Source organism: Homo sapiens, chromosome 15 (assembly GCF_000001405.40).
Source record: "Homo sapiens chromosome 15, GRCh38.p14 Primary Assembly".
Taxonomy (NCBI): Eukaryota; Metazoa; Chordata; class Mammalia; order Primates; family Hominidae; genus Homo; species Homo sapiens.
In genome coordinates this window covers 97,416,595-97,429,540 of record NC_000015.10, presented here as the reverse complement: position 1 = coordinate 97,429,540, position 12,946 = coordinate 97,416,595, and the positions used below count along the sequence as shown (strand labels likewise).

General features: G+C 36.6%; 2 long non-coding RNA genes across 5 annotated transcripts in view, besides 1 other annotated feature; one reads left to right on the top strand and one right to left on the bottom strand.

The window, feature by feature from the left end:
* The window catches only part of LINC02253 (long intergenic non-protein coding RNA 2253), a 197,799-nt gene that overhangs the window by 2,550 nt on the left and 182,303 nt on the right, over nucleotides 1-12,946 (bottom strand). For 2 of the 4 annotated variants that reach the window (NR_183855.1, NR_183853.1), the window contains one exon: nucleotides 337-492. The exons of the other annotated variants lie outside the window; for them this stretch is intronic. This is a non-coding gene — a long non-coding RNA (long intergenic non-protein coding RNA 2253). The remainder of the gene's footprint in view (nucleotides 1-336; nucleotides 493-12,946) is intronic. 4 annotated transcript variants of the gene reach the window in all.
* The window catches only part of LINC02254 (long intergenic non-protein coding RNA 2254), a 151,441-nt gene that overhangs the window by 92,271 nt on the left and 46,224 nt on the right, over nucleotides 1-12,946 (top strand). Inside the window, exon 3 of the long non-coding RNA NR_120324.1 lies at nucleotides 1,589-1,890. This is a non-coding gene — a long non-coding RNA (long intergenic non-protein coding RNA 2254). The remainder of the gene's footprint in view (nucleotides 1-1,588; nucleotides 1,891-12,946) is intronic.
* Nucleotides 10,399-10,965: an enhancer, noted in NCBI's record as "NANOG-H3K4me1 hESC enhancer chr15:97961806-97962372 (GRCh37/hg19 assembly coordinates)". NCBI's record gives its function as "activates a minimal SCP1, AML or CMV promoter by ChIP-STARR-seq in primed H9 embryonic stem cells {active_cell/tissue: H9 hESC(primed)}" and the evidence as "EXISTENCE:reporter gene assay evidence [ECO:0000049][PMID:30033119]".

Sequence of the window (12,946 nt, the reverse complement as noted above, 5' to 3'; positions counted from 1 at the left end):
TTATTCAAATATCTTGCTGCCCATTCCAGTTCACAAATGGTAATGAATTCTATACCATATGATTTCCAACACTTGAGATGATTCTTGGTTTTCGATTTACTTGCCCCCAGATAGACAGTTGTATGTTTACTCACATATATCAAATCTTGGATACAAAGGGCACAATATTATGAACCAGGGTTATATATTCCTGGAAAGACATCTTACAAAAAATAAATAAATGCTAACACATACTATAAACTTTTAATACATATGTAACAATTCAGTTAATATAATAAGTATGCCTCGAATGTTCTTTCATGGGGAAGGGAGAGTGGATTTTCATAATGGACTGACCTTGGCTGAAGATGTATGAGGCAAGAGTCCAGGGAAGCTGACTCAAAGGTGAAATTATTACTTTTCCAGAAAGATTTCCCTATAGCAAATAGCATTTTTTTTTCTTCAAAGAGTTCTAGTGGCTCTCAAGAGTAAGATCATCTTTTGCATACATACCTAGAACACAGAATCCTACGTAGAACGTCCATCATTTATTAATGATTGTTTGCTCTGTTTCATTGCTGAGTGACTATGAAGGAGAGTCTATAAATTTCATCACTTATTGAGAATATAATCTAAAACAAATCATTATCCCTCAAAAGAACCTGACGGCAAATAGGATATATAGATAGGTAGATATTAACATTCGAGGAATGTAATCTCTGTGCCTGCAGACAAATTTGGTGCCATATTTATTTTCCTAAAATGCAAGAAACTTACATTTTAGTGAAAGATAAAAGCCAGTAGTCTTTATTTTTTCAATTCATAGAATAAAATATTTTCAACTATTTCAGCTATAAGCATGAAGACAAATCTATATAAGTAGATACAACTATTTTAAAAGCAAAGACAATAGAGCAAAGCAAATTAACAGTTTATTTATGTAAAGTCATCTTCATACATTATTTTACTTAATCTTTATAATATCTCAGTGTGGTGAATATTATAATATCCATTTTGCAAAAGCTGAGAAGCATTTAAAAAATTACCTTAATGAAAATATCTGATAGGTAGAACAACCAGAATTTGAACTCTGGTTGGTCTAATTCCAAAGCCTTGGGCTACCTCCATTATGCCATGTTTCTATTATGAAAGTCACATAATAGGAGGGGAAAATGAGATAATTAAAATGTGTGTTTTCTTGTACATAGCCAATCCTAGCCATCTAATTTCTGGGATATATGTTGAACATTGGTTCCTAGTTTTTTCATTTGTGAAATCCCTTTTGCCCTGTGGAATAAAATTCATTATGCCTAATGCAAAGCTATTAATATACAAAATAGCCTGCTTTCATTATTCTCATTAGCTAATAAATAGTTTTTGTTTGAGTGCTAACCTTAGTCTAGAATGAGACAAATGAGACTAATGACTGACTGAAGAAGGGAAAAAGTATTTTTTTCCTACAGTTCATCACAAAAAATACAATAAATATTGATGATATTATAAGCCATAACAACATTCAATATTGAATGTTTACAAAGTGAACACACTGGCATTTATAACATCTTAAATACAATTTGTCACAAAGCCTTATGTTTTTTTTTGAGTACAGGTGATTTAAACAGAAGAGAGGACCACCCCGCCAACCAAATGTCCAGGTCCTATTCCATGGAACCTATGAACAGGTTGTCCCACATTGCAAAAGGGACTTCACAGATGTCGGTAAGTTAAGGCCATTGAGACGAATGATTCTGGATTGTCTGTTGGGCCCAATGTGATCAAAAGTTTCCCTAGAAGAGCTAGAGAAGATGCGATAATGGAAGCGGAATCAAAGACAGATTTGAAGATGCTGCTGTCTTTGGAGAGAATGGCCAGGAGGCAAGGAACACAAGCAGCCCCTAGAAGTTGGAAAAGGTAAGGAAATAGATTTTTCCCCTAAGAGCCTCTAGAAGGAACTCAGGTTTGCAGACCATCACCTGGAATTCTTCATACCTAGTGAAACTCATTGCTGACTTCTGACTTCCAGAATTGTAAGCTAACAATATGCATTGCTTTACGTCACTGTGTGTGGTGATTTGTTACAGCAGTGATGGGAAACAACACAATAGGTAAAATGGAAAGGTAGAGTCTTGGGTCCTAACTCTTCCAGTTGCATCATAAGGCTCAGTATGATGAATGCCGCAAGAACCACAGAATAATATTAAATGACTGTGTTTTGCAGGGCATTTAGGCAGGTGCATCCTGTGGCTATGTATCTCAGTAACCTATTTGGGGAAAAGCTCATGTGGCAAATATATAAAAATCAAAATTAAATAAAAACCATGAACTAGCCTTTAGGTTAATGTTTTTGTTTTAATAATACATATTCCATTATTTCAAACCCATGTTTTTTGTTTTACTTGGTGAATCTCTTATTCTTGTTCTCTGCCTTCAGATTTCACATATTAATTCTCCTCTTTATGATGTGAGCATTTTTGACAACATTTGTAATGTGAGTGTATCTAACACAATGATGGGACAAGGTAGAGATACAACAAACACTTTTTGAAAGCCTGTAAATAGCCAGATGCAACTTGGAAAGCTGAGGCAGGAAGATCTTCTGAGGTCAGGAGTTTGAGTCCAGCCTGGGCAACTCATAGCAAGACCCCATCTCTATAAAAAATTTTTTAAAAAAGAGCTGGGTGCGGTGGTGGGTACTAGCTGGGTAGCTGAAGTGGGAGGATGACTTGAGGCTAGGCGTCCCGGGTTGCAGTGAGCTATGATTGCACCACTGCACTCCAACCTGGGCAACATAGTGAAACTGTCTCTCTCTCTCTCTCAAAAAAAAAAAAAAAAAAGCATGAAAGTTAAAACAAGCAGCTTTCATTTTTTTCTTTATTGAGTTAAGCATAGTAATGATTTAAAAGGGGGCAATGAGAGTCAATGCAAGGCTATAAACTGGGACACTTCTATTCTCTTCAGTTACACTTTAAGAGTTAACAGAAACTCTAAAAATCAGTTTGACAATATGTACCAACATCTAAAAAGATGCTATATCCTTTTTCCTGGCAATCTCATTTCAAGGAATCTAGCTTAGAAAACAATAATCAAATATATAACAAAATAATTATGTGAGTGACGATGATTAACAATGAAAAATGTCAGGATAATGACTATTATGTCAATTATTTTTTAAAAATGGAATACCCTAGGAAATGGGATACAGAATTCTATGTATTAATAGAACGATACAATATTTTTTGCTTTCTTAAATGTTTTTCTAATTTCTAAAGTTTACACACTTTTTCATATCTATCTCTTATGAATAGAAAAGTTTGGTATAACATTTATGTATCCTGTGTATTCCCAAAATAAAAGGAAAATGACTAGATGATTCATTTACTGAGAGCTCAGACACACAAAATGCTTGTTTTAATGTCAGAATCATACCAATTGTCAACTAGCATGAATCAAATCTGGTGTGTGACTCTCTAATTATTTACACCTACATAATAACCACCAGATGCTCACTGCGACACAAGAGTTAGCTTTAGTACTCAGAGCATTTGTATGTAAATGAAATAGATATTGATACAGTACACCCAGGCCACTGGTTTAACTGTTTTTAATGGAACTAATTCATATGAAAGTCAAGCAACAAAAATTTACCACATTTCCTTACAAAATAGATGGCGAGCTATTTGACTAGAATGGTTAAATCAACAAGAATCACCACATATGACTGCTTTTTTTCAAGTGATCAAATTACAGGAAGCAATATGGCTCTTAGAATGGTGCACAGAGCCTACCGTTGTCGCTGACTCATACTAGGTCCTCACGGATAGTTCTTGAATCAATGTTTTAATAATTTATTAATGTCTATCAAATTCTTATCACATTTTTTGCTATTTTGACTTTTAAGCAAGTACTTCCAACATTAAAATGCCTTAGTCTGTGCTACTAATACACTCTGAGATTAGTTCGTGTCAGGCTGGTATTAGAATTATAATGCAATAGAAATTAATGAAACCCAAGTTTGAAGCCTTGCATATTATTCAAACCATATTTTTTCATGGATTTCCCTTTTCCTCCAAGGACCCTGTCTCCACAAACTTTGAGGTGAAAATCAAGGAGGAATGCTTTCCTTCTAAATATCTTCGATATTATTTGACAGTGCTTATTAAGTTTCCAGTGAGCCCCAGAGACATTGTGCCGTAGGGTCTTTCAGAGCAGACAGACACATTCAAGTCAGCTATAAAGCTGTGCTCCACGTGCTACCATCAGCGTAGCCCATGTGTCTTATGGAAATACTTGAGAAGAGTGTCTGCTCTGGGCAGCAGACACCACTGACAGTAATGGACGCTGTGGTTCTGCCTGAATACAAATGGTTTCCTTCTTCTGAAAATAGCACCTTGATTCTCTTTGGGCCCATTATTGAATGCATGGACTTTCAAACTACACTGCCATGTTTGAATCTCAACTCTGTGAGATCACAGACAAGTTACTTAACATCTCTGTGCATACTGCTAGTCATCTGTAAAATGGGGATATTATGAGGATGAACTGAGCAATTAATCACAAAAGCAATTAGAACAGTGCCTGACACATCATAAGCCCTACAAATTATCTGTTAGATAAATAGACAAATCTTCTCTCTTGCATTCTGTCCCCATGAGATTCTCTGCACTCCCTTGGCCAAGAAGTGGCACTTGATCTAAGTCAAATCCAGTCAGGCTCATTGTTAATAAACATCCTTGTCACACGTATCCTGGTATGTAAGTCTAATTATTATTCTTTAGGGTAGATTCTCTGAAATGAGATGGCTGGGTGACATATAAAAATTGTTAAGATTCTAGTACAGATTGTCAAACTGCTTTTTTTTCTTTTTTCTTTAATTTTTATTTTTCCTTATTTCTTCTAAAAAAATAAATGGGATGCATGTGCAGAACATGTGGGTTTGTTACATAAGTATACGTGTGCCATGGTGGTTTGCTGCACCTATTGACCCATCCTCTAAATGAGGGGAGTCAAACTGCTTTTTTAGGGAGTTTCTATTACTTTTAGAAAGTAACTGGAGTACACTGAAAAGAAACATTTTGACAGTGAAGCCCTAGAGAACTTCTTCATTAGTTTCTGCTACCTAAAGCCTTAGAGTTGCCGGCTCCTGTATTTCATATAAAAGAAACGAGTATTTCTCTTCTTATGAGAAGGTTGAATACTTTTAAATACGTTTAAGGGTCCTTTGTATGTCTTTCTTTTTATTTACTTATTTCGTATCTTTGATAGTTTATTATTGGGTTGTGGATGTTTATCTTATAGAAGATTAGCTTTTTTTTTTTTTTTGTCTATGAAATGAAATGACTGACATCCTTCCATGCAGAAGATTTATATTTTCTACCTAACCAAATTGATCAATCTATTTTATGGCTTCTGGATTTTGAGTCATCATTAAGTTCTTCTGCACTTTAGATAGGTAATGTAGTTTCTCCATGTTTAGTTAAGTACTTTCACATGTACATTCTTGACTTATTTATTCTACAATTCTACAATCATTAATTATAGACTAATTTATGCTGGATTATGATGCTTGCCCAGATGGATATATTTATAAAAAAACTCTTCAATGTTTTCTTCTAGTGTTTTTATGATTCATTCATTTTTGCTTCAATCTTTGATCAATTTGTGATATATTTTGGTGCACAGTGGCAATGCACTAGACTTATGCCATTAATTAGTTTAGGAAGCATATGCTCAAAAATCCAGAGCTCTAGGTAGAAAGTATTTTTACTTCCTGTATTGAGGTATTTATTCTGGCACTACTTAGTAAAAAAAACTATCCTCTCACTGATGAACTGTCATAGCATTTTTATTTCCAAAAGCAGTTGACTATAAACATAAATGTTAATTTCTGGTCTCTCAATTGTTTTCCATTTTCCCATATTGCCATTTTTCTGCCAAAACTACAGTCTCTTGATTTTTTAATTGCAGCTCCACGGTAAGTTTCAAAACCGGATGGTATCTGCCCTTCCACATTTTCTTCTTTTTCAAAATTGTGTTTGATCTCTTAAGTTTTTTGAACTCTCATATAAACTTTAGGATCAGATTAAGAATTTCTGCCAAAAAAAATTCTCCTAGAATTTTGATAGTGATTGTGAATTCATAGAAGTATTTAGAAAGAATTACCATTCAACCAATATTTACTCTTCTATCAATGAACATAAAGTATCTCTCCATTTATTTTGATCCTCTTCAATTTCTCTAAGCAATGATGCATTATTTTGCTAAGTTTATTCCTAAGTACTTTAACTTTTTTATCCTATTGAAGATACAAATATTTTACTCTCTCTCTCCTTCTGTGTGTGCGTGTGTGTGTGTGAGAGAGAGAGAGAGAGACGGTCTCACTCTGTCACCCAGGCTGGGGTGCAGTGGCACAATCCCAGCTCACTGCAGCCTCCACCTCCCAGGCTCAAGTGATCCTCCCACCTCAGCCTCTTGCGTAGCTGGGACTACAGGTGCAAACAACCAAGCCTCACTAATTTTTTGATTTTTTGTAGAGATGACATCTCAGTATGCTGCTCAGGCTAGTCTCAAACTCCTGGGCTCAAGTAATTCTCTTGCCTTGGCCTCCCAGTGTTGAGATGACAGGCGTGAACCACAGTGCCAAGCCTGAAATTTTTTACTTTTCTATTTCAAATTCAAATTTTACATTTCAATTTCAAAATTTCAAATTGTTCATTGCTAGTATATAAAAGTTCAATGACTTTTTGGTATCTTTTGGCTTTGTTAAACTCATTCATTAGCTCTACTAATTGAATTGTGTATTCCTCAGGATTTTCTAAATACAGAATCATGTCATTTATAAAAAGACAGTTTTGCTTCCTCCTTACAAGTCTGCCTTCTTTTCAGTAATTTTATTTTTCTCACAGCAGTGTGTAGAACATCCATTCTATTCAACTTTGTTGAATAGAAGTGTGAGAGTGGGCATCCTTGCCTTGTACCCATTTTTAGGAAGAAGCATTTAGTCTTTCACAATTAAGTTTGATATAAACTGTAAGTTCTTATAGATTGTTTATATCAGGTTGAAGAAAATTCTTTCCATTTGTAGTTTCTTGAGACTTATTATCATTGTTAGGTATTACATTTTCTCAAAAAGTTTTTCTATATCTACAAAATGATGAGGTTAAATTTTTTTCTTCATTCTATTAATATTATAGAAATGCCATATAATAATGACATACAATATTTTTAGGTGTTGCTGAATTCAGTTTGCCAAAAATTTAATAAGAATGTTTGTATTTATATTCATGATAAATATTGGTGTGAAGTTTTATTTTCTTATGATGCTTTTCTCTGGTGTTGGTGATAGAGTAGTACTGGTTTTATAGAATGAGTTGGGAAGTGCCCCTTCCTCTATTTTTTGAAAGAGTTTATGAAGGATTTTTATTATCTCTACTTTAAATATTTGATAGATCACACCAGTGAAGGCTTATATGCCTGTCTTCTTTTATGGAAAAATTTTTAATTACTATGGTAATGTCTTATTATAGTTAACTCGGGTTTTCTAGTTCCTTTTGAATCAGTTTTGATAATTTACGTCTAAGTTTTATTTTATGTAAATTATCTAATTTTATGGCATATAGTTTTGCACAATATTATACTTAATTCTTTTAATTTCTTTGTATTTGTTAATAATGTTCCTTTTTTATTCCTGATATTGGTAATGTGTTCCTTTTGTTTACTTTTTGTCAGTATAGCTAAGGGTGACTCAATTTTATTTTTGATCTCAAAAAAGCAACTTGGTTTCTTTTACTACTGTTACCACTTTCCTGTTTATTTCTTTTGTTATCCTTCTAATGTTTAATATTTTCTTTCTTCTAGTTTTGTTTGGTTCCATTTCCACTTGTTTTATTAGTTCCTTAAGGTGGAAACTTAAATCATTGATTCTAGAACTTTCTGATTTTCTTTAGTTGTTTTTTGCTATTAATGTCCTTCTAACCATTGCTTAACTGACCCCCATAAATTCTGCTAGACACTACTTTCATTTTTGTTAATTTCAGGATTTTCCTAAAATTCCCTTCTGGATTATTTAAAAGTATGTTGTTAAATTTCCAAATATTTGAAAAAGTGGCTATTTCTACGATTTCTGTTTCTTGATTATCTCTAATTCCATTGTGGTAAGATAACATATTTATAGGACAAAAATACTTTTAAAATGTTTTGAAGCTTATTTTGTGACCCAGAATATGCTCTATCTTGGCGAATTCCCTATATGTGCCTGAAAATAATATCTATCTTCAGTAGTTACACGAAAGGGTTTATATATGACTGACAATTAGGTCAAATTGTTTTATAGTCCTGTTCAAGTCAAGTCTTTAAACTTGCTGAATTTCTATCTTTCTTATTAATCATTGAAAGTAATTCACTGAATTCTTTCACCAGTTATTGTTGAATGGTTGATATATCATTTCAATTTGCTAGTTTGTTGTTTCATGTGTTTGGGATTCTCTTGCTAGATGTGTATACACATTATAGTTGTTATGTATTTCTGATGTACTTAAATTTCCCTCTACAAATTGCCCCCTACATATTTAGGCACTAAAAAAAATTCAGTCAATCTATGTCTTTGAATGCAAAGTGTTTTTGGTAGAAATTATAGAATCAGGTTTTAAAAAAAATCTAATCTGGCAGTCTGGTTTTTCACTAAAGAGTCTTTACATCTATTATCATTTGTATATAGTTAAAATTTTATTTGCCAATTTGCTTTCCATTTGAATGCTACCTTTTTTATTTTTTTATTCCTCTCTTACTGTTTTATTTTAGATTACATAAATATGGCTTTACTTCTGTTATTTCTTAATATATTATTTTGAGGGTTCTTTTTTTGTAGTTGTTGTAGGCATAATATTCCTCTAAACCTACTTCAAAATAATACTAATTTAAATCCATTAAATATAGAAACTGCTTCACTATATGTCCCTTTTCTACCTTCTCCTTTTTGTTATTTTCCTGTATATGATAAACCCCTGAAACCGTTTAAAATTGTAATTTAAAAAAAATCATAAGAAGATATGTGGCTACCTTATTAAGAATGATTTGGCTATTTTCCAGAACTCCCTGTTAAATCCTTGAATAGTCCTGTATTCTACATCTCACCTCCAATCGACCTTCAATCTCAGCCAAATGAAGCCTCTGAACTCCCTTGTTTTCTTGCCTCTGAGATTACTTTGACCACATTCCAAGTCAAGGGAGGCCTCTTCTCCCATGATGGGTAACTTCCTATTTTGAAAGCCAGCCACACCTTGACTGAACTAAGGCTCTGACAGAGCTGGCAGGTGGGATGGAGGATGGGAGCAGCCTTACTCAAAAATGTCTCAGATGACCACATTTAATACCAGAAGTTTGGTAGTTTTCATGAATAAACCCTTCTCTCTTCTATGCCTTTGGTTAAATACCAGGTTGCTGAAATGATTTTTTTTTTATCATCTTATCCAGATTTATCGTTGCTTTTTTGGGAATAGGATTTGTTGACCTTCTCACTCTGTCACACGGGCAATTGCTCTCTGGACATGTTTTATTGTTAAAAGACACTTCTAAAAATACAATACAGCCTAAAGATCTTAACTGTTCTCTTGACAAAATTTCTGCATTGCCTGTCAAGTTAAGCCTAGACTCTCCTGCCCAAGTTCATGGCTCATTTGTTTGGCCCCAGGCTGCCTTTAAAGCCTGTCCCTGACCTTGAGTGTGGCTTGGCGGAATAGCCTACTCAACATTTCCCTTTCCTCTCCAAAATGCTTCCTTTTCTCTTACTAACCTAGACAACTCTCTGTTCCACCACATGGACACTTCTTAGAGACTCTGTTATTAGTCACTTTTATACGGAGTATATTCCGCCACAGTGAGATAGTATCTTTTTTAAAGCAGAGGCTATGCATTATATATCTTCTTTGTTTCAAATGAGTCTAATTCAGATCCTTAAGCAGGAAAAGCATCACTGAATATTTGTTTCATAAAATAAGGAATAAAAACATGATATATTTCCCTCTGAGGGACAGTAATTAGCATCAGGCAGAATAAGAGAAATGCTGAAAAAAGAGATCTTAAGAAAGAAATTCGGTGGAGCCAAGATGGCCAAATAGCAACAGCTCCGGTCTACAGCTCCCAGCGTGAGCGACGCAGAAGACGGGTGATTTCTGCATTTCCATCTGAGGTACCAGGTTCATCTCACTAGGGAGTGCCAGACAGTGGGCGCAAGACAGTGGGTGCAGCGCACCCTGCACGAGCCGAAGCAGGGTGAGGCATTGCCTCACCTGGGAAGCGCAAGGGGTCAGGGAGTTCCCTTTCCTAGTCAAAGAAAGGGGTGACAGACGGCACCTGGAAATTCGGGTCACTCCCACCCTAATACTGCACTTTCCCTACAGGCTTAAAAAACGGCGCACCAGAAGATTATATCCCGCACGTGGCTCGGAGGGTCCTACGCCCACGGAGTCTCGCTGATTGCTAGCACAGCAGTCTGAGATCAAACTGCAAGGTGGCAGCGAGGCTGGGGGAGGGGCGCCCGCCATTGCCCAGGCTCCCTTAGGTAAACAAAGCAGCAGGGAAGCTCCAACTGGGTGGAGCCCACCACAGCTCAAGGAGGCCTGCCTGCCTCTGTGGGCTCCACCTCTGGGGGCAGGGCACAGACAAACAAAAAGACAGCAGTAACCTCTGCAGACTTAAATGTCCCTGTCTGACAGCTTTGAAGAGAGCAGTGGTTCTCACAGCATGCAGCTGGAGATCTGAGAACAGGCAGACTGCCTCCTCAAGTGGGTCCCTGACCCCTGAGCAGCTTAACTGGGAGGCACCCCCTAGTAGGGGCAGACTGACACCTCACACGGCCGGGTACTCCTCTGAGACAAAACTTCCAGAGGAACAATCAGGCAGCAGCATTTGTGGGTCACCAAAATCTGCTGTTCTACAGCCACCGCTGTTCTGCAGCCACTGCTGCTGATACCCAGGCAAACAGGGTCTAGAGTGGACCTCTAGCAAACTCTAACAGACCTGCAGCTGAGGGTCCTGTCTGTTAGAAGGAGAACTAACAAACAGAAAGGACATCAACACCAAAACCCATCTGTACGTCACCATCATCAAAGACCAAAAGTAGGTAAAACCACAAAGATGGGGAAAAAACAGAGCAGAAAAACTGGAAACTCTAAAAAGCAGAGCGCCTCTCCTCCTCCAAAGGAACGCAGCTCCTCACCAGCAACGGAACAAAGCTGGATGGAGAACGATACTGACAAGTTGAGAGAAGAAGGCTACAGACGATCAAACAACTCCGAGCTACAGAAGGAAATTCAAACCAATGGCAAAGAAGTTAGAAACCTTGAAAAAAAATTAGACGAATGGATAACTAGAATAACCAATGCAGAAAAGTCCTTAAAGGAGCTGATGGAGCTGAAAGCCAAGGCTCGAGAACTATGTGAAGAATGGAGAAGCCTCAGGAGTCGATGCCATCAACTGGAAGAAAGGGTATCAGTGATGGAAGACGAAATGAATGAAATGAAGCAAGAAGGGAAGTTTAGAGAAAAAAGAATAAAAAGAAATGAACAAAGTCTCCAAGAAATATGGGACTATGTGAAAAGACCAAATCTACGTCTGATTGGTGTACCTGAAAGTGACGGGGAGAATGGAACCAAGTTGGAAAACATTCTGCAGGATATTATGCAGGAGAACTTCCCCAATCTAGCAAGGCAGGGCAACATTCAGCTTCAAGAAATACAGAGAATGCAACGAAGATACTCCTCGAGACGAGCAACTCCAAGACACATAATTGTCAGAATCACCAAAGTTGAAATGAAGGAAAAAATGTTAAGGGCAGCCAGAGAGAAAGGTCGGGTTACCCACAAAGGGAAGCCCATCAGATTAACAGCGGATCTCTCGGCAGAAACTCTACAAGCCAGAAGAGAGTGGGGGCCAACAGTCAACATTCTTAAAGAAAAGAATTTTCAACCCAGAATTTCATATCCAGCCAAACTAAGCTTCATAAGTGAAGGAGAAATAAAATACTTTACAGACAAGCAAATGCTGAGAGATTTTGTCACCACCAGGCCTGCCCTAAAAGAGCTCCTGAAGGAAGCACTAAACATGGAAAGGAACAACCGGTACCAGCCACTGCAAAATCATGCCAAAATGTAAAGACCATCGAGGCTAGGAAGAAACTGCATCAACTAAAGAGGAAAATAACCAGCTAACATCATAATGACAGGACCAAATTCACACATAACAATGTTAACTTTAAATGTAAATGGGCTAAATGCTCCAATTAAAAGACACAGACTGGCAAATTGGATAAAGAGTCAAGACCCATCAGTGTGCTGTATTCAGGAAACCCATCTCACATGCAGAGACACACATAAGCTCAAAATAAAAGGATGGAGGAAGATCTACCAAGCAAATGGAAAACAAAAAAAGGCAGGGGTTGCAATCCTAGTCTCTGATAAAACAGACTTTAAACCAACAAAGATCAAAAGAGACAAAGAAGGCCATTACATAATGGTAAAGGGATCAATTCAACAAGAAGAGCTAACTATCCTAAATATATATGCACCCAATACAGGAGCACCCAGATTCATAAAGCAAGTCCTGAGTGACCTACAAAGAGACTTAGACTGCCACACAATAATAATGGGAGGCATTAACACCCCACTGTCAACATTAGACAGATCAACGACACAGAAAGTTAACAAGGATACCCAGGACTTGAACTCAGCTCTGCACCAAGCAGACCTAACAGACATCTACAGAACTCTCCACCCCAAATCAACAGTATATACATTTTCTTCAGCACCACACCACACCTATTCCAAAATTGACCACATAGTTGGAACTAAAGCTCTCCTCAGCAAATGTAAAAGAACAGAAATTATAACAATCTGTCTCTCAGACCACAGTGCAATCAAACTAGAACTCAGGATTAAGAAACTCACTCAAAGCCGCTCAACTACATGGAAACTGA